The 21,983-nt window shown below is 39.8% G+C and overlaps 1 protein-coding gene and 1 pseudogene across 1 annotated transcript in view; one reads left to right on the forward strand and one right to left on the reverse strand.

Moving 5' to 3' along the window:
* Positions 1–21,983, reverse strand: part of MGAT4A (alpha-1,3-mannosyl-glycoprotein 4-beta-N-acetylglucosaminyltransferase A) — a 112,027-nt gene that overhangs the window by 54,750 nt on the left and 35,294 nt on the right. Inside the window, exons 3-4 of the mRNA NM_012214.3 lie at positions 4,449–4,616; positions 1,180–1,320 (exon numbers count right to left, since the gene is read on the reverse strand). Coding sequence (NP_036346.1) covers positions 1,180–1,320; positions 4,449–4,616 — 309 coding nt within the window. The remainder of the gene's footprint in view (positions 1–1,179; positions 1,321–4,448; positions 4,617–21,983) is intronic.
* Positions 20,260–21,638, forward strand: YWHAQP5 (YWHAQ pseudogene 5; annotated as a pseudogene).

The following is a 21,983-nucleotide window of genomic DNA, read 5'->3' on the forward strand; positions in this document are numbered from 1 at the left end:
CTTCAAAAATAATTAACAATCAACATTCTAAAAAAAACAAAAAACAAAGTACCACACACACCTTGTTAGTCTCTGTATACCTGGCACCTGCAGAATGCCTGGCTTCAATAAATATTTTTTGAATCATTAGAGAAAGGAAAGATGGAGTTTGTCTCAACATGCTATTTTAAGAGTTTCCACCTCCTTAAGAAGGAAGGTAGTATATTATTTCAACTGATTAATGAAATAGAAAGACAGCAGAACTAAGACAAGATGAATGTAAAAGCTTACATTTATAGATCAATGAGAAGATGTGATCCCCCAAATAAGACAGCAAAATACTTAAGAATCCCATTGAATCAAAAGTAGACCCAGCTTTTCAAAAACACTAACCCAAAAATGAATCTTGATATCTATGAAGTTATCATTTCATCACTTGTTAAAAACTTACAGAAGAACAAAATAATATTCTGCCCTCTGCATTTTAAAATCTACAAAGAAAAGATTAACAAAGTCAAAACAGCGGAATCAAATGTATGAGTGGTAAACGGCTCTTGGGCTGCTTGCTCAAGCCCACTTCCACTCTGTGGAGTGTACTTTGGTTTCAATAAATCTGTCCTTACGTTGCTTCAAACAAACAAACAAAAAGAGTGGTAAATAGTTTCTATAAGGAAAACTGAAGAAGTTCTGTTGCCTCTGACAAGAAGAGAAAAATAAGCTATATATTATCTTTTGAATAAATTAGGAAAAAAGAAGCAAATCAAAGTATTTCTACTACTCCATAAAAAGTTACATAAAAGTTACTATCTACTTACACCTCTGTAGGAAAAGTGGGGCAGACATAAGAAAAACCTTTATGACATGACCAAAAGAGCTGTTAATTTTGAAATAAGATACAAGGCAAGTCATCTCTGTACTTCCCAAGTTTCTTAAACAGAAAAATGACAAAGGTGTCAACATTTGTCTGCCTGGGATGGGGCCTGAACTAGATTTCACATGATCCCTTTCAGCTGTATTACTTTGGTCTATGAAGGAAAATGTCCAATTCCTTTCAACATGGAGTTTAGAATGATCTGATGTGCACAGATAAAGAAAGAACTTTCATTTTTTGACCTCCCAGACTTCTGATGGTCAACATAATAGTCCAAAACACATTTAACAGCAGTAGTACAACTGCAGTAAGAAACAAAATAAACATACCTCCTGTTCTTCCGTTGCCAATCTGTACAGCAGGTTGAAGACTTCCTTCATTTTTCAATAAATGAGGCAAATGATAATAAATACTTGGCACTTGAAGAGATTTTTTGCTTGTTAACTCCTTTAACAGCTTTAGGGTATTATCTGAAACACAGAAGTATAATTAATATACAAGAATTACCTTACAGAAGTTGCTGATTTTATAAAACCAGCAGTAAAAATTAATAAGAACTAGAACTAAAGAATTTTCTTTCCTAGTTTCACACTCTGGTGAATGAGATCTCCATTTAAGATGAAAAGGACACTTTCAAAGCCAAAGTCTCACAGGTCATGATGTTGATAAAACTGGCTGAAGGAAACCAAAATGGCCAGCTAGAGGACCGTAAGAAGGTGGGATGCTAAGGGCTCACCTCTATAATGTATTAGAACTCAAGTTTGCCAAACAGACTCTAAATATACTGTTGGCTTATGAAAATGTAATAAATAATAAGTACATTAACCATCAATCACTTCCATTTTCTTTTTTTTTTTTTGTGACAGGGTCTTGCTCTGTAGCCCAGGCTGGTGTCCACTGGCACAATCACGGTTCACTGTCGCCTTGACCTCCCAGGCTCAAGAGATCCTCCCCACCTCAGCCTCCTGAGTACCTGGGACTGCAGGCACATGCTACCACATCAGCTAATTTAAAAAAAAAATTTTTTTTGTACAGACGGGAGTCTCACTATGTTGCCCAGGCTGGTCTCAAACTCCTGGCTCAAGCAATCCTCCTGTCTTGGCCTTCCAAAGTGCTGGGATTACAGGCATGAGCTATCATGCTCAACCATTCACTTTCTTTATGCATTACATGTTATCAAAATTTCACATGGAAGGAATTTTTTTTCTGAAAACTTCAAGTAAAATAATATAAACAGCACAAGTTGAGAATATCCAGTACAGATCACAACTTTCAAATAGTTTCATTTTTTTTCTCACTCCATTTTATACATAGGATGTTTCTGTTTTTATTAGAGGAACCAATGAATCATTTAATGATATGAAATAAAAACTTGGTAGTAGAAATAATATTGTTTTAAAATTTCATTAAATTTGAATTTAACCTTAGAAAAAAGCAAGCTAGCAGTAGGAATTTGTTACCTCAACTTCATTAAAAATATGAGAAGAACCAAAAATTCACGAAAGAAATGCAAATGACTGTCATATGTAAAATTAAAGTTTAATCTCATGCGTAAAGAAACAATTACAAATTATATCAATTTCTACCTATGAAATTAGCAGATTAAATATATTAAATATTGGTGATAACAAGATAAATGTTCCAACTATTCAAAACAGCAGCAAAAACCTTAAAACATTTCTGTCCTATTACTCAGTAATTTCCCTTTTAAGAATTTAGCTTCTATGCATTCAACAAATATTTAGTGATTATCTATTTTATTCCAGCAAATGTATCATTTGTTCAAAAATGAAGTCATCAAAACACAGATCCTATTTCTAAGAAGATCATAATCTAATGAAAATAACTTAAAGGTTACCAGAAATATGATTGCTTTATATACAAATATGTTCATCAGAGTTATAAACTAGGGGGGAAAAACAACCCAGAAAAACCCATTTGAATAACTGTAGAAAAAAATGTTTAATATATTGTGGTATATATAGCTGGCACATTCACAGCCACTAAAAATAATATTTTGAAGATTAATGACAAAGTTTTAAAATGCTCATAGTATAATTTCAAGAGTGAAAATCAGGCCATCATACACAATAACAATTTTGAAGAAAAACATTCACGGAAAAAATACTAGAAGGAAACAAAAAATGTTAGTAGAAATCACTTGGCATCAGGTTTATCGGTGATTTATTTTTTATCTACACTAGTCCATGAGTTTCAACATCAGGGTGACATAATGCAAAGTTTATCAGCAGGAGGAGAAGGAGCACGCAACTTTATAAATAAGGTGAGGCAGTGGATCTGGAGATGAGAGGAATTCATGTGTTTTTAAAACAGGTGAAGCTAAATGAAAAAGTATGCTAATCTAGAAAAATTATGCAAATTTAGAGGCAATCAATTAGATACATATGTCAATTTAATTATCAGATAAAGAAGAGCACAGAAAGAGAGATCACTTGCCCTCATCTTACTCTGACCAGGATTTCTCAGAGAAGAAACAGGCCAGATACTCCTAAAGTATCCACTAGGAAACTATGTATGTTCTGTATTATAAATAAGGTTTAAGAGCACGAATTGCTTCAAATAGCTCAAAGATTTCTCCAGAGTCCATCTGAAGTCCACACATAAGTCATCACAGAAACACATATACACGAAAAATTAAATTTTAATCTCATTTTGAATAATTTAATCTCATTTTCAAAAGATGCACATTCTTCACCAGTGCCAATGAAATTTATTCCACTGCAATTTAACTTTTTTTGTTTTTGAGATGGAGTCTCTCTCTGGAGTGCAGAACTGGAATGCAGTGGCAGGATCACAGCTCACTACAACCTCCGCCTCAAGAGTTCAAGCGATTCTCCTGCTTCAGCCTCCTAAGTAGCTGGCACTACAGGCGCACACCAACATGCCCGGCTAATTTTTGTATTTTTAGTAGGGATGAGGTTTCACCATGTTGGCCAGCCTGGTCTTGAACTCCTGACCACAAATGATCTGCCCGTCTCGGCCTCCCAAAGTGCTGGGATTATAGGTGTGAGCCAACACACCCAGCCAATTTAACTTAATATGACTCTCTTAAAATCAGATTTAGCAGGTAATAAATTTTTTTTTTTTTTTTTTTTTTGTAATTTACTAGAAAAGAAAGTTTTGTGTGGTGGTTTTTCTCTCTGAAAGGGCTGGCTTATAAACTATTCTACATGACTTTCAAAAAAAAATTCCACATGCCCCTTTGCAAATCTAATCTTTTTCAGCCGGGTGCAGTGGCTCACGCCTGTAATCTCAGCACTTTGGGAGGCTGAGGGGGTGGATCACGAGGTCAGGAGATCAAGACCATCCTGGCTAACATCGTGAAACCCCGTCTCTACTAATAATACAAAAAAATTAGCCAGGTGTGGTGGCGGGCGCCTGTAGTCCCAGCTATTCAGGAGGCTGAGGCAGAAGAATGGTGTGAACCCTGGAGGTGGAGCTGGCAGTGAGCCAAGATTGCGCCACTGCATTCCAGCCTGGGCTACAGAGTGAGACTCTGTCTCAAAGAAAAAAAAAAAAAAAAATATATATATATATATATAAAATCTTTTTATAATATAAAAAATACTGTTTGTACCTGAAAACTTATTCAACGCATCCTTACTTCCATTTGTTTCTGCTCCTACACGCTTGAACTGTTGCACAATCGTATTTAATTCAGAAGAGCGCTGTGAGATTCTGTGTTCAGCTATTCGAAGACGTTCTTTCAAAGCAAGGAATTCTCGTTGATAAGCAATCAGTTTTTCTAGAAGCAAAACCAAAACAGTTATAGTATATGTCTTAAAACAAATAAACAATATAATCTCAATGGAACTGTAAAATTACAAAGTTTAAAGTTGAGTTTTTCAGAAGAAAATATTCATTGATACAGAACTGAAAAAAAAAGGGTTCTGACTTGTTATATAACAAAGTTTATATGCTCTTATTATTTGTAAGAATGCTGTTAATGCCTATTATTATTATGCTCTTATTATTGGTAAAAATGTGAGCAGTCTCCAGCACTTCATATAATTAAAGATGGATAAAATGATAAAAGGTTTTAGAATAAACACTTTAAAGCATCATACTAAACAGCATCTGTCAAAGGGTACAAACAACTATAAAGACCATATTCACATCAACCAGATAGAGAGATGAGGCAAAAACTGATGGTAATTTATATAATAATATAATGAATATAACATATTTTATAGCATAATCATTAATTTCCATAGACCAAACTTTTCCTCTGAACTTCCTAGTCCTCAAAGATTTCCCTAGGCTAGACTTTGGTCAAAGCCCTGATCCCTAAAAACCCAGTGAGTGGCCAGGCGTGGTGGCTCACACGTGTAATCCCAGCACTCTAGGAGGCCAAGGTGGAGGATGGCTTGAGCCCAGGAGTTCAAGACCAGCCTAGATGGCCGGGTGCGGTGGCTCACGCCTGTAATCCCAGCACTTTGGGAGGCCGAGGTGGGCGGATCACGAGGTCAGGAGATCGAGACCATCCTGGCTAACACGGTGAAACCCTGTCTCTACTAAAAATACAAAAAATTAGCCAGGAGCGGTGGTGGGCGCCTGTAGTCCCAGCTACTCGGGAGGCTGAGGCAGGAGAATGGCATGAACCCAGGAGGCGGAGCTTGCAGTGAGCTGAGATCGCGCCACTGCACTCCAGCCTGGGCGACAGAGCAAGACTCCGTCTCAAAAAAAAAAAAAAAAAAAAAAAAGAGACCAGCCTAGGCAACACAGTAAGACCCCATCTCTATAAAACAATAAAAAATTAGCTAGGCATGGTGGTGTATGCCTGTAGTCTCAGCTACTCAAGAGGCTGAGGTAGGAGGATTGCTAGAGCCCAAGTATTGGAGGCTACAGTGAGCTATGATCACACAACTGCACCCCAGCCTGGGCGACAGAGTGAAACCTTGTCTCAAAAAACAGTAGAATAAAAATCCACTGAGCTAGATGTACAATGACCCTTGTTAAAAGTCATTCATTTGAATAATTTGAGAGAATCACGCGTCAAAAAAACCTGGTCTAGGAAATAAAAGTGGGCTTTGATGAGGATAAACGTAGGCATTGAAACAATGAGTAGAAATGAATCAGCACAAAGTGTACAGTAGAAGAGGCTCAAGCACAGAACTGGACAGCAACACCTGAGAGATGGTGGAAGAAGCCATTCATTTACTTGCCTGGAGGTACTGAATAGTAGTGGAGGCTGCGGGAATGTTATGCACAATGTCCACAACCTCATTAAATTAAGATAAACCGCAAGCGTGCTTCCAACTTCTATAGCAAGCTAAAGCTACTATTTTGACACCTAAACAAACCTTAGAAAGGCTTTTTTTTTTTTTTTTCTGAGACAGAGTCTCACTCTGTCGCCCAGGCTTGAGTACAGTGGCGCGATCTCGGCTCACTGCTGCAACCTCCGCCCCCTGGATTCAGACAATTCTCCCACCTCAGCCTCCCAAGTAGCTGGGATTACAGGCGCGCGCCACCACACCCAGATACTTTTCGTATTTTCAGTAGAGATGGGGTTTCACCATGTTGGTCAGGCTGGTCTCGAACTCCTGACCTCAGGTGATCCACCTGCCTCAGCATCTGAAAGTACTGGAATTACAGGCATGAGCCACTGCGCCCAGCCAGAAAGTCTGTTTTTAATTTAACATTATAATTTCTGTTTTAATCATGGATAGAAGCAGTAAAAACAGACTTATGAAAAATGAATCTGCAGTCTTAATAACACTCAATTATTCTGTTCCTTGTCCCTTACATAAAGATCCTTACAGTAAACACCTCTTAAGATTCCATAGCAGAAAAAAATATCTCTCTGTCTTAACTGCCATGCTTCACTACATGGAATAACAAAAGCATGTATGTCACCGTATTTGCGTTAATTTGCTCAGAAGGAAAGGAGAAGAGGTAGGACAGAGAAGGCTGTGATAGGGAAAGGGCATACCGGCAGCTCCAGGGTGCCGGCTAGGTTCTATTTCTCGATCTGGGTGTCACTCATGGTTTAAGCATTTTCTGCATGTGTAAATTCACAATATAAGAAATGTGAAAGAGATACTATTCCTAAACACAAAACTATAAACAATTCTATTAAACAATTATAAGAAGAGACACATAAGTTTTATGTGAAGAAAAGTACAAGCTTTTTACTGAAGTCTATAATAGAATCAATAAAATTATCTCTTATTCCTAAATAAGAAGACTCAGTCTTACAAAAAGATTAATTCTACCCTAAGCAAAAGAAATTCAATTCAGTATCCTTTTTTGTTGTTGTTGTTGTTCTTTTTTTGAGACGGAGTCTCGCTCTGTCACCCAGGCTGGAGTGCAGTGGCGCGATCTCAGCTCACTGCAAGCTCCGCCTCCCGGGTTCACACCATTCTCCTGCCTCAGCCTCCCGAGTAGCTGGGACTACAGGCGCCCGCCACCATGCCCGGCTAATTTTTCTATTTTTAGTAGAGATGGTGTTTCACCGTGTTAGCCAGGATGGTCTCTATCTCCTGACCTTGTGATCCGCCCGCCTCAGCCTCCCAAAGTGCTGGGATTACAGACGTGAGCCACCGCACCTGGCCCAATTCAGTATCTTTCAAAGTAACAAATTTTTTGAACTTGATGTATAATTCTAATATTTATCTAGAAGAATTAATGTTTTTAAAGGGCCAAGAAAAATCTAGAAGATAATATGGGGGAACTTGCTCTGAGATCAGAATACGTTATATGGTTTCAGAACCATATATGTTATATATATGAAACCATGTGTTATATGGTTTCAGTCCAGAGAGTGTGGACAAGGGCAGATCAGCATAAACACAGTGTCCAAACACAGCATGTGTCCAAAACAGATCTTTTGAGTTCTTCCCTCTTTATGTGAACAACATTAGAATCCTACCCTTCAGACTTAAGCAGTGCCTAGATACTGGTTTCTCAACACCATTTGCCACTAAAATAAAATAGAACTCTTTGGAGGCCGGGCGTGATAGCTCACCCTTATAATCCCAGCACTTTGGGAAGCCATGGCGAGAGGATCACTGGAGCCGAGTTTGAGACCACCCTGGGCAACATGGCGAGACCCCAACTCTAGTAAAAAAAGAGTTTTTTTAAGAACTCTTTAGAGAAATAACTTTAAGATAAACCTAGAATATTCTTCTGCCAGCAAGAAAGTATTACCAAAAGAAAAAAATGACAGGACTTCTCCAAAGGGCACAGAAAGGCAGTGGAGAGGCCCCCACTAGCCAAATGGGGAACAATTTAAGAACCAAAATAAATATCGATGGTAATGGATTATAACCCATTGAATAAAATACAAATCCATGAGTCCGTATCAACAATAAATAAATAAAAAATGAACAAATGAGGGGAAAGTGTTTCTTACAGAAGAAGGCCAATTACTAAATGTAGAAGAAATAATGAACATTAGAAAAACTGCCATTTGGGCCAGGTGCGGTGGCTCACGCCTGTAATCCCAGCACTTTGGGAGGCCGAGGTGGGCAGATCACCTGAGGTCGGGAATTCAAGACCAGCCTGACCAACAAGGAGAAATCCCGTCTCTACTAAAAATACAAAATTAGCTGGACATAGTGGCGCATGCCTGTAATCCCAGCAACTTGGGAGGCTGAGGCAGGAGAATCGCTTGAACCCGGGAGGCAGAGGCTGCAGTGAGCCAAGATGGCGCCATTGCACTCCAGCCTGGGCAACAAGAGTGGAATTCCATCTCAAAAAAAAAAAAAAAAAAAAAAAAACCACCACTTTGCAACCATCATAGCAATAACTGACTCAGGCAAGCATCAAAAATGCATGCTAAAACTAACAGGTGAAAGTCTAATAAGAAACAGGTATTTATATCATCTCAAAATACCTCCCCACAAAGTACTCGTTACTTTACAAAGAGGGAAACGATAAAACCTAGCTGACACCACCTTCATCAAGTGATCAAAGTTAAAGTTGGCAATAATGGGACAGAGATCACGTGCCTCGTGAAGTGAACCCCAGAGGACACCCCTCATGTGGGATTCCTGCCCAAAATGCATAACCTGATTCTAATCTCAAGGAAACATCGGACACATCCAAATTGGGGGATTATGTATAAAACAAATGGCGGCCGGGCGTGATGGCTCACGCCTGTAATCCCAGCAGTTTGGGAGCTGAGGCGGGTGGATCACAAGGTCAGGAGATCGAGACCATCCTGGCTAACACGGTGAAACCCCCGTCTCTACTAAAAAAATACAAAAATTTAGCCGGGCGTGGTGGCGGGCGCCTGTAGTCCCAGCTATGCGGGAAGCTGAGGCAGGAGAATGGCGTGAACCCAGGAGGCGGAGGTTGCAGTGAGCCGAGATCGCGCCACTGCACTCCAGCCTAGGAGCCAGAGCGAGACTCCGTCTAAAAAAAAAAACAAAAAAAATAAAAAAAATAAATGGCTTCCACTTTAAGACGTGTCAAGGTCATCAAAGACAAAGGCTGAGGAAACGACCAGGAGTAAGAGAAACTAAATGCAAAGCGCTGTCCTGGACTGGATCCTGGACCAGAAGAAATAAATGCTGTCAAGAACATTACTGGAAAAATAACAGAACACAGACTACAGAATGGGTATGATTGTGCCAATGTTAAATTTCCTGAATTTGACACTCGAACTGTGGTAATGTAAGAGAATGTCCTGGTTCTTAGGAAATAAACATAAAATTATTTAGGGGTAAAGAGGCACGATTTCTGCAATTTACTCTGAAATGGTTCTGAAAAGAAACAAATATCTGTAGAAAGGAAGATGATAGAGGCAAAATGTTCACAATAGGTGAAATGTGTAGAGAACTTATTTGTACTATCCTTGCAACTCTTCATTTCATCATTTTTTTTTTTAATACAATGATGCTTTAAAGTAAGCAGGAGATTGAATGGCAGATATAGGCTCAGTCTTTCATCAGCTCCTGAGTGGTAGAAAGGGATAGGAGTCTGAGGGCAGTCTCCATCTCCACATGCATTTTCTTGTTATGTTTTCAAATCACCCTCCCAGAGGCCAGCTTCAGCAAGTAGGAAGAATAAGCAGTCCCAGTAGAGAAATGCCGCACCCCTAATTCTAAAATGCTTCCCTGCTTTGAGGGGAACTGTCCATGCTTTTGGAAAGTTAGCTTAGAAAAAGTCCCTGGGGGCCCATGGACTATTGGATAATGTCACAGGTATTTAGTTTCTAGCCCGGATGCTATTGCTGTTCTTAGTCCAAGACCCACAGCTATGAAAAGGCTCCAGAGGGGCCATTTTCGATCTCTCTCACATCCGTCCTTTGTTTCTAACTCCATTCTGCCACATTAAAAGAGTTCTCCACAACAACAGGGCAACTTCATATTCCATCTGGAAAGCCAACTCAGCTTTCTAGAACTTTCTAGAATTTTCCCTAGACTTTTCTCCATTTATATTTCCCGTAATACTATACAGCTTTCTTAAGGAAGAGAATTGTTTATCTGCTTCCAGCATTCAGTTCACTTTAACATAACAGATGAAAAAATTCCTCCAAATTAATATGTTTGATAATTCCCTATTGTCAACATTAGTAGAAAAATTCTTATTTTTGCTTTTCTTAGAATCATTTCAATCGGTTTGTATGAGGGGTCATGGTGGGAAACTGAAGGAACTTTCATACTACCATCTTACTGGGAAGTGCCCAGTTTTGTTTATTGTTTTGTTTTTACTGTAGACAAAATCTAACTTTTTTAATTGTAGAAAATTATATGTTCAGCCTAGACAATGAAAGTACAAATTATGTTTTGTACAAATTGTGTTTTGTGAACCTAAGATTCTAAAACAAAATTTCCAGAGAAACCACTTTGATTCTTCAACTCAAATATTTAGGTCAGTTTCCAGTGAAAAGGGTAACTCTGGGCTTTCAAAGACTTACAAGGCTAAACCGTATAAAATTGCTGATATTTGATCCTTTTTGGCAAAAATGGTAATTTCATATGAAATTGTTCAACAGTATAAATGAATGATTAACACAAACAAAAAGCACCAATAAGTCACATCTAATGTGTGGTGAATAAAAACAGACCAGAGAACTTTATTTTTTAAACAATAGTAACTTCTTATCAGCAAGATGTACAAGATACTACTAAATTCAGAGCTAGTGTTAAAAACTGGCTTTTTGTATTGAAACAAAAACTACCAAAAGTTAAACCCACTCTTTATTTCTTAATTTAAAACATTTTAATATTTATTAGATAATAAAATTCTGGCACTGAAAAAAATGTTGATAAGTCCTCTGGGCCGGGCATGGTGGCTCACACCTGAAATCCCAGTGCTCTGGGAGGCCAGGGCAGGAGGATTGCTTGAACCTAATAGTTTGAGACCAGCCTGGGCAAAATAGGGAGACCTTGTCTCTACAACAAATTTTCAAAAATTAGCCAGTGTGGTACTGCATGCCTGTAGCCCCAGCTACTCAGGAGGCTGAAGTGGGAGGATCCCTTGAGCCCAGGGTTTGAGGCTGCAGTGAGTGGCAAATGTGCCACTGAACTGCAGCCTGGGTGATAGAGCAAGACCCTGTCTCTTAAAAAAAAAAAAAAAAAAAGTAGTCATCTGGTTCAACCTCAGTACCACATTGAACGGATACAATTCTTTCCACAGATAAATTTTTTTTAAATATGAATGAGGAAGGTTTTTAGTAAGATTCCAAAATTTAATAAGCTTTACTTCTCAGGAAGCCACTGCCTTTGAAAAATGTTTTATTTCACTTTTTAAAGATTTCACATGCATCACTCTTACACAACCATTTTAAATTAGAAAGAAGATGGCCTAGATGAAATTGCAGAAAATTTCCCACTTATAAACCTCTTAAGCATAAAGAAAAAAAAATAAAAGAACTGGATTCAGAGGGTGGTTTAGGAGAACTAATGCCATAAAAAGCCAAAAGACACAGTGAACAGCAGTCCAAATGAAACAGGCTGAAAGAACAGAACTTGAACAGACAATTCTAATTAGAATGGATAGCTAAAACTTACAAACGAGACCAAGTATCTCATTGTTTCCTGAATTTATCATGCATAAGAACCACCTAAAAGGGCTCATTAAAACACAGAATTCTGGACTTCACTTCCAGGGATCCTGATTCCATGGTCTGAGGTGGGGCCCAAGAATTTCTAACAAGCTCCCAGGTGATGCTGATGTGCCAGTCCCAGGTCCATGAGCGGAGAAGCCCAGAGGTAGCCAGCATTGTCCTCGGGGTAGTTCTAGACTCGAGCAACCTAGAAGTTTATGTAGTTCTAGTCTACCAGTTCCTTCTCCTCTCCCTTCCTCTGGCCCACAGGTTAAGGGTTCCAGGGACAGGGGGCGCTCATTAAAATGTTTAGGGCCGTAATCCTGAAGATTAACTTGGGACAGAGAGGGTTTTCCAAGTATCCAGTGAACACCAGTTTCAAAGGTCTCTTACATGGCATTATCAAGATTATTCTGGTTTTGGAGTACTCCAGTCAGGATCCAACACATACGCATGGATTCTGAAAATAGCTGCACCCTTCTAAATTCAAAAGGGAAAATGGGGCTCATAGATATACAGGATCATACACTTTATTTAAATTAAAATAATGAAAATAATTCATTTACTCCCTTATGTTTTCAGTATACTTACAAAACAGTGACTAGTGAATACCAAATCGGCTATGGTTGAAATATTTTCTGGAACGCAACCACTATTTCTCTAAGCTGTCGGCTAATATAATCATTAACAGTGTCATTCAAAACAAACTTCCAGGTAGAGGTTTAATAAGTTAAAATCTATCCCCTGACCTAATAAACATAACACCTTAAGACAAACAAACGATGCTGCATGTACCTATAACACAGGTTTTTTTTTGGTTTTTTGGTGTTTTTTTTTTTCTGGAGACAGAGTCTCGCTCTGCCACCCAGGCTGGAGTGCAGTGGCATGATCTCAGCCCACTGCAATCTCCGCCTCCTGGGTTTAAGCAATTCTCCTGCCTCAGCCTCCCAAAGAGCTGGGATTACAGGTGCACACTGCCACACTCGGCCAAGTTTTTGTATTTCAGTAGAGATGGGATTTCACCATGTTGCCCAGGCTGGTCCTGAACTCCTGACCTCAAGTGATCTGCCCGCCTCGGCCTCCCAAATCTAAATAGACGTAATAATTTTCCTTGACTTCCCTTGGGAAAGGGCAATCTCTTTTCAGTAAGTTCATCGTGAAGTCCCAAATTCCCTTATAATAATAAAATGAGGAACTATAAAAATTCATAACTCATGATAACATTCATTAGAGTACACTTAGCTATATGTTTATAACAGCTCTTCACTTCTAAAAATATTAACAATGATTGTATTCAACCTGACTTTTTAAAATTCAACAACCACAAGGAGCTTGGAGTAAAAATTATCAGGTGGTTATAAACTATTTTCCTTAAGTACTTTAAAGTTACTGGGAGACACTTCTTCATAAAGGTGTATTTCATTCTAAAAGGAAAATTAAGAACATTTTGTATTCTGAAAGCTATAATGCGCTGTATTTTCCTATGAAGAATCCTCAAGACACAGCATTAGAATTCTAATGTAGTTCTACATTAGAACTACAAAGATAACTACATAGTTATCTAATGTAGAACTATGTAGATAGTTGTAACTGTTACAAACATATAGCTAAGTGTACTATGTAGATAGTTCTTCATTAGAACTATCTTTAACTAAAAAGCAGGGTACTGATAATTAACCAGTCACACACTATGGAGTAGCTCTACTAACAAGCGTGTCCTCTTACTGCATGTCCCTAGCTAGATCTGGATATTCCTTGTATGACCTATTTCATGCTTTCTCCTTCTTCCCTCTTCTCACTTTCCTTTTGCTCATTCATTTCCACCTTCCCCCTCCTAATATTCTTCTGCAAAGTCCTTTTCAAATTCTTCTGTGTTTCTTTTCTGGACTTATTTTCAATCAAACTACTGCTCTCACCTCTTTCTTTTCATGTTATTCATGCTCCCCCCACCCACCCCACAATAGCCCTGTCTCCTTTTTCTTTGTTTCAAATTACTGAGGACTTTATTTCTCCATGTGAATGGTTTAAACAGTCCACTCACTTGCCCTGCAGGCCCAGACCAAAATCACAGCTGACACCATTTCCAACACCGGCTAGTGCTTCCAGGCTGCGGCACTCCCACTTTAACTGTGGGAACTTGACAGACTCACCCTGTGGTCTTATGAAAGGGGCCTAGTGAACCAGAAGATGCCTCAGACTGAAAAAGGAAAAAAACAAATGAACCTGCCTCACTACAGGTGAGGCAGCAGTGAGAATGTGAGCTACAGCCTCCTCCACCCTTGTCTGACTCTTCCAATAGTCCACTGATGATGAGACAGGTGAGGATATAGGTTATCAAGATTTTATCTTCCCATCCCATCTGACTCCTCCTTAACCCTCAGTATGTCACCAAGGTCCGCCGCACCCAAATTTAGCTATCGTTTCTTTTTTGAAATCTTCTATTTTTAAGGACTGATACTTCATGGCTTTTAGTCTTTCTTAGAAACCTCCCAAAGGATAAAGGGAACATCTGGGCTTTTTTTAAAACAAAAAAAAAGAATATAACTCATTCTGTCTAGCAATTACCATATGAGTCCCTCAGACTGTTTTATAAATCTAAGACACTGTCACAAGCGGACTCTGCAGTGACCCCAGTGACCCTCGTCCTTCTGGTATTCACAGACTTCCACAACCTCTGCCCCTTGAGTGCAGGCAGACACAATGACTTGCTTCTAATGAACAGAATATGGCAAAGGTGATAGGCGTCATTTCCAGGATTATGTTATATTACACAGGACTCCATCTCATATAACATCTATAGTGTATAGTATAATATATGGTGTCTATAGACTTCCTAGCTGACTTTGAAGAAGTAAACAACTAAACCGAAAAGCCCATGTGACAAAGAGCTTAGAGCTGCATCCCAGAAAACAGCCAACAACAAGCCTGGGCTCTCAGTCCTACAGCCACAAGGAAATGACTTCCGCCAACAGTCTGGATAAGCTTGGGAGTGTATTCTTTACGAGTCAGGTCTCAAGATGATAGTGTAGTCCAGCTGACACCTCAGTGTATCCTTTTGAGAGCCCAGGTAGAGGGCTCAGTTAAGCCATGCCCAGTTTCCTAGCCCACAGAAAATAAGAGATAATAAATGTATCATTTTAAACCACTAAACTTGTGGTAATTTATTATGCATAAATAGATAAATAATACAGATATAGGATCTCAGTGAGCCTATTTTTTCTATATCTTAAAACTTTTTGCTATTTTATTGTCCTAAGAATTACTTTACAATTTTATAATTATTCATCAATCATTCCTAATCATGCTAAAAAAAACTAAATAAAATGGAAGAATGATAGAACCACCTGGAGGATGGTACATAGTGACATAAATCACCACTATTATATCATCTTTTAGTTTTCTTATTGTGTTTCTAAGACTACTGGCATCATCTTTCAGGATAGCATAAAAGAAGTTCAAAAACACTACTTTGTAGTCTTCTGTAACCTTTGCTGAAAACAACTGGGAATTCAGGATTTTTCCTTTTTGTACCCAAAATGGCAAAAAGAAGAAAAGTTACAGCAAAGACATCTGACAACTGTAGGACAAATCAGAAAATGAATGTAGAAAGCAGGTAGTATCACTATAGACTCTAATAATGGTGGTGAAATTGATCATAAAAGCAAAATCTCAGACTATGAGTCTTCAGATGACAATATCCTTGAAGAACTTTCTCTAATTCAGATGAGACTTCCAGTTCCAGACCAAGATGGAATAGACACACTTCTCTCTATGCATCCTGCTAAACACAATTATAAACCCAGATATTATAAATAAGAAGGCTGGGCACCATGGCTCACATCCATAATCCCAACACTTTGGAGGCTGAAGCGGGTGGATCACTTGAGCTCAGAAGTTCAAGACTAGCCTCGGCACCATGGGGAAACCCTGTCTCTACAAAAAATACAAAAATTAGCCAGGCGTGGTGGCAGACGCCTGTAGTCCCAGCTACTCGGGAGGCTGAGGTGGGAGGATGGCTTGAGCATAGGAGGCAGAGGTTGCAGTGAACTGAGTTTGTGCCAGTGCACTCCAGCCTGGGCAACACAGTGAGACCCTGTCTCAACAACCACCACAAAAAATAAAAAATAAGAAGACTTTGAAAGGTGGAAAGCAGAAGGCAGAAAGGGTAGAGTCACTGGGACCCAAGAAACAACACAGTAGTGAGTTCTCTGAATTTTCTTTCTGCCTCATATATCCTAGAATGGGAACTAGAAAAGTCGGCAACCTGAAAATACCAACAGGAGCACAAAAAAAAAAGGACCAAGAAAAGCCTGCTAACCCTATGCAAAGGACTCAGTAAAGGGCAACCCAGCAGGACAGAAAACGTCAGACAATCACCACTCTACTCCAGCCATATACCATGAAAACACATGGTCCCATCCCCACTCTATCAGCAATGGCCAGGCAGGGAGCCTAGACTTCCACCCTTGCCCAACTGTTACTAGGCCCCCTGACACCCATAATATGTGGATGGGGTCAGGAAAGACTGAGTGAGGGAGCTGGGACTTTCACCACCCTCCACCAGTAATGAGCCTCCTGGTGAGGTGTGAGTGGAGGCCACAGGAGAAGCAGTAGCAGGGTCCCTTCTCCCCTCTTAGCAAGTGTGGCATCAGCACAGGACTTACGGGAAACTGACCTCCCAACCCTGCACAGCTGGAAGGAGGAATCCCTCCCTGCTGGGTACTGATGGATGCTTTGGACTTTCATCCCATTCCCACCAGCATAATGAGGTGGCACAGCCCGTACCCTCCCAAAATGATGTCAGAAAAGGCCAGCTATGACAGACAATGTAAATAAAAGCCAGAGTCTTATAATAAACACCCAAAATGCCTTGGACACAACTGAAAATCACTCATAATATTGAGAACCAGGAAAATCTCAACATCAGTGAGAACAAACTATGAACAGATGCCAACACCAAGATGACGCAGATGTTGAAATTACCTTGTAAGGATTTTAAAGCAGCCATCATAAAAATGCTTCAATGGGTACATTAAACAAATTTTTAAAACTGAAACCCTAAGCAAAGAAATAGAAAATATAAATAAACAAATGGAAGTTTCAGAATATGAAATATAATAATTGAAACAAAAAAAACTTAATGGGTGAGCTCAAGAGCAGATGGAGAGAATCAGTGATCCTCAAGAAAGACAACAGCAATTGCCCAATCTAGTCAAAAGAGAGAATATAGACTAAGGAAAAAATTAACAGAGCCTCAGGGACGTTTGGAACTGTAACAAAAGATCTGAGATCTAACACTGCTATCATCAGCAACACAGAACATACAGAAAGAGGGCTATCATCAGCAACACAGAAGAACATAGAGAAGCAACATAGAGAAAGAGGGTGGGGTGGGAAAAGTACAGTCCTGCCCCATATATGTCCAGGGGTCTTGTAAGATTATAATGGAGGCTGGGCGCAGTGGCTCACACCTGTAATCCCAGCACTTTGGAAGGTTGAGGCAAGAGGATCGCTTGAGGCCAGAAGTTCAAGACCAGCCTGAGCAAATCAGTGAAACCCCATCTCTACAAAAAATACAAAAATTAGCTGGGTAACGTAGTCCCAGCTACTAGGGAGCTGAGGCGGGAGGATCACTGGAGCCTAGGAGGCTGATGGTAAAGTGAGCCATGCTCACACCACTGCACTCCAGCCTGGGCATCAGAGCAAGCTCTGTCTCAAAAAAAAAAAAGATTATAATAGAGCTGAAAAATTCCTATCGCCTAGTGACACTGTAGCCATTGTAACAGCATAACACAATGCATGACTCACATGGATGTGGTGATGTTGGTGTAAATAAACCTACTGCACTGCCAGTCATGTAACAGTCTAGCACATACAATTATGTACAGTACACACTTGATAATGACAATCAACTGTTACTGGTTTATGTATTTACTATACTATGCTTTTTATTGTTCTTTTAGAGTATACTCCTTCTGCTCATAGGAAAAAAAGTTACCTGGAAAACAGCCTCAGGTCCTTCAGAAGGTATCCTAGAAGGAGGCACTGTTCTCATGGGAGATGACAGCTTCATGTGTGTTACCGCCCCTGAAGGCCTTCCAGTGGGACAAGATGCGGAGGTGGAAGACTAGGAAACTGATGATCCTGACCCTCTGCAGGCCTAGGCTAATGTGTATGTCTCTTCCTTTTTAACAACAATGTTTAAAAAGTAAAAAAATAATAAATTTTAAATAGAAAAAGCTTATAGAATATGAATATAAAAAACAAAATATTTTATGTGGTTATACAATGTGTTTGTGTTTTAAACTTAGTGTTATTACAAAGGAGTCAGTTGAAATTTTTTTAAGTTAAAAAGTTACAATAAGCTAAGATTAATTATTAACATTTTTTGAGACAGGGTCTCGTTTTGTCACCCAGGCTAGAGTGCAGTGGCCTGATCAAGGCTCACCACAGCCTCAACCTTCTTGGCTCAAGTGATCATCTCACCTCAGCCTCCAGAGTAGCTGAAGTACAGGTACATGCCACTACACTCAGCTAATTTTTGTGGTTTTTTTCTTTTTTTGTAGAGACAGGGTCTCACTATATTGCCCAGGCTGGTCTTGAACTCCTGGGCTCAAGTGATCCTCCCGCCTCAGCCTCCCAAAGTGCTAGGATTCCATATGTGAGCCACTACCCCTAGCCAGGTTAATTTATTTTTGAAGAAAGAATAATATTTTTATAAACTGAGTATATCCTTAGTTCAGTATTTGTGAAGGCTATGGCAGTCTACAGTGGTGTACAGTAATGTCTTAGACCTTCACATTCACTCCCCACTCACTCACTGACTCATCCAGAGCAACTTCTACTCCTGCAAGCTCCATTCATGGTAAGTGCTCTCTACAGGTATACTGTTTCGCCTTTTATACGGTATTTTTACTTTATCTTTTCTATGTTTAAATATATTTAGATACACAAATACTTACCATTGTGTTATAATTGCCTATGGAATTCAGTACAGTAACATGCTATATAGGTTTGTAGCCTAGGAGCAGTACGTAGGTGTGTAGTGGGCTGTACCATCTAGGTTTGTGTAAGTATACCCTATGATGTTCACACAACAAAACCACCTAACGATGCATTTCTCAGAACACATCCCCATCATTTAGTGACACATGACTGTACTTGGAGAAATAATAGCTAGAATTTCCCAAATTTGGTAAAACACATAAACCTACATAAAGATTCAAGAAGCTGAGCAAAACCCAAACAGGATAAACCTGAAGAAACCCATGAAAAGAAACACCACAATTGAACGTTAGAAAACTAGAGACAAAGAAGAAATCTTGAAATCAACCAGAGGGAAAACACACATGACCTACTGGGGAAAAGATTTTGAATTACAGCAAATTTCTCATCAGAAACCATGGAGATCAGAAGGAAATGGCACATTTTTTAAGCACTAAAAGAAAAGAAAAAGAACTGTCAATCTCAAATACCATCTCTGGCAAAACTATCTGTAAGGAATAAAGGGAAAATCAAGATATTCTTATAAAAAAGAAAACTGATGGAATTTGCCATCAGCAAACCTATCTGAAAAGAATGGCTAAAGGAAGTTCTTAAAAAAGAAAGGAAATGATAAAGGAAGGAATCTTGCAACATCAAAAGGGAAAAACTGAAAAAGAGAAAAAAATGCAAGGAGACATTCCTTTTCTCGAGTTTTCTAAATTATGTTTGATGGTTGAGGCAAAAAGGTAACATTGTCTGATGTGGTTCTCAATGTAAAAGAAATATTTAAAACAATTATAAACAGGCTAGGCAACAAAGCGAGACCCCATTTCTATAGACAAATTAAAGAATTAGCTGGGTGTGGTTGCACGCATCTGTGGTCCCACATACTTGCGGGGGCTCAGGTGGGAAAATTGCTTGAGCCTTAGAGGTTAAGGCTGTAGTGAGCTGTGACAGAGTGAGAGCTTCTCTCAAAAAAAAAAAAAAAAAGATCAACTGGGGAGGGCAAAGGACTTTAAAGGAAATAGTTTCATACTTCACTCAAACTGATAAAACGTCAACCCCTGTAGACCACGGTAAGTTATATATGTACACTGAAATACCTAGAGCAACCACTCAAATATCTATACAAAGGAATACACTCAAAAACACTACAGATGCATCAAAATGGAATTTTGAAAACTGTTTCAGGAACACACAAGAAGTCAGGAAAAAAAATTAAAACACTGAAGGAACAAACTACAAAGAAAAATAAAATGGTAGACTTGATTAAGCCTAACGTAACAATAATCACATTAAATGTAAATGGTCTAGAGCTCTTGTTCTCTCGATTCATCCTCCACCCTAGCCCCAGCTCCAGCCTGGCCCCAGCCCCAGCCCCAGCCACCCACCCACCATGGTGAAGGCAGAGCTGGCCCAGCAGGCTAAGCACTGTGACAACATGGCCACCTACACGAAGGCCATGACCAAGTGGGGCACCCAGCTGTCCAGCAAGGAGCGCAATCTGCTCTCAGTGGCCTACAAGTATGGGGTCAGGGACTACAGGTCCACCTGGAAGGACATTTTGGGCACTGAGCAGGAAACTGACACCTCCGACATGAAGCTGCTACTGATTAAGTACCATAGGGAGAAAGTGGAGTCTGAGCTGAGATCCACCTGTCCCATGGTCTTGGAATTTTTGGATACACCATGGTCTTGGAATTTTGGGATAAGTATTATATTCAATAGCCAATGCAACTAATCCAGAGAGAACCGTCTTCTATCTGAAAGTAAAGGGGGATTACTTCCAGTATCTTGCTGAAGTTGCATGTGGTAATGATCAAAAACAGAAGGTAGGTCAGGTACAGTGGCTCATGCCTATAATCCTAGCACTTTGGGAGGCCGAGGTGGGTGAATCACCTGAGGTCAGGAGTTCGAGGCCAGCCTGGCCAACATGGCAAAACCCCACATCTACCAAAAATACAAAAATTAGCTGGGTGTGGTGGTGCATACCTGTAATCCCAGCTACTCAGGAGGCTAAGGTAGGAGAATCACTTGAACCCAGAAGGCGGAGGTTGAGTGAGCTGAGATAGCACCACTGTACTCCAGCCTGGGTGACAGAGCGAGACTCCATCTCAAAATAAAAACAAAACAAAACAAACAAACAAAAAACACAGATGGTAGATAATTCCCAGGAGCTTACCAAGACACATTTGACAATTTGATAAGCAAGAGAGAGATGCAACCCCCCCCTTCCGATCTGCCTGGGGCTGGCTCTTAACTTTTCTATATTTTACTGTGAGATCCTTAACAACCCTGAGCTCACCTGCCCACTGGCTAAAATGGCTTTTTTTTTTTTTTTTTTTTTTGAGACAGAGTCTTGCTCTGTCTCCTAGGCTGGAGTGCTGTAGTGCAATCTCAGCTCACTGCAACCTCCGCCTCCTGGGTTCAAGTGATTCTTGTGCCTCAGCCTCCCGCGTAGCTGGACTACATGTGCTCACCATCATGCCAGGCTAATTTTTTGTATTTTTAGTAGAGACGAGGTTTCACCATGCTGGCCTGCCTGGTCTCTAAATCCTGGCCTCAAGTGATCCACCCGCCTTTGCCTCCCAAAGTGCTGGGATTACAGGCCTGAGCCACCGCACCCAGCCCTAAAACAGCCTTTGATGAAGCCACTGCAGAACCTGATACACTGAAGACTCAGACAGCCCCCTCATCATGCAGTTGCTGAGAGACAACCTAATAACACTGTGGACATCACACAGTGCAGGAAAAGAACGCAATGCAGCAGAAGGGGCTGAACACTAAATGCATGCAGGGTGTTATCCTTCTTCCCTTCAAGAAACCTTTTTACCATGTCCATTCCTTATTCCACTTGGATTTCCTGTAGCAAAGAAACCTATTTATGTGTATGGAACCAACTGTTTATAGTATTTCCACACTGCAGCTTTGAGAAAACCTGATTCCCTGATTTGTGTTTGTCTTGGCCTTCCTGGTGTGCAGTTACTGCTGTAGAAAAGTATTAACAGTTTCATTCCATATAAACAAAAGTAACTTGAAAAAACTTATGTAGAGGACATATTTGTATCTGGTATTTAATCTTAACCAGGTCTGCAAGTGACTGTGTTTTGTATTACTGTAAATATATGAAAA

The sequence above is a fragment of the Homo sapiens genome, chromosome 2 (genome assembly GCF_000001405.40).
Source record: "Homo sapiens chromosome 2, GRCh38.p14 Primary Assembly".
In the NCBI taxonomy this organism is placed as follows: Eukaryota; Metazoa; Chordata; class Mammalia; order Primates; family Hominidae; genus Homo; species Homo sapiens.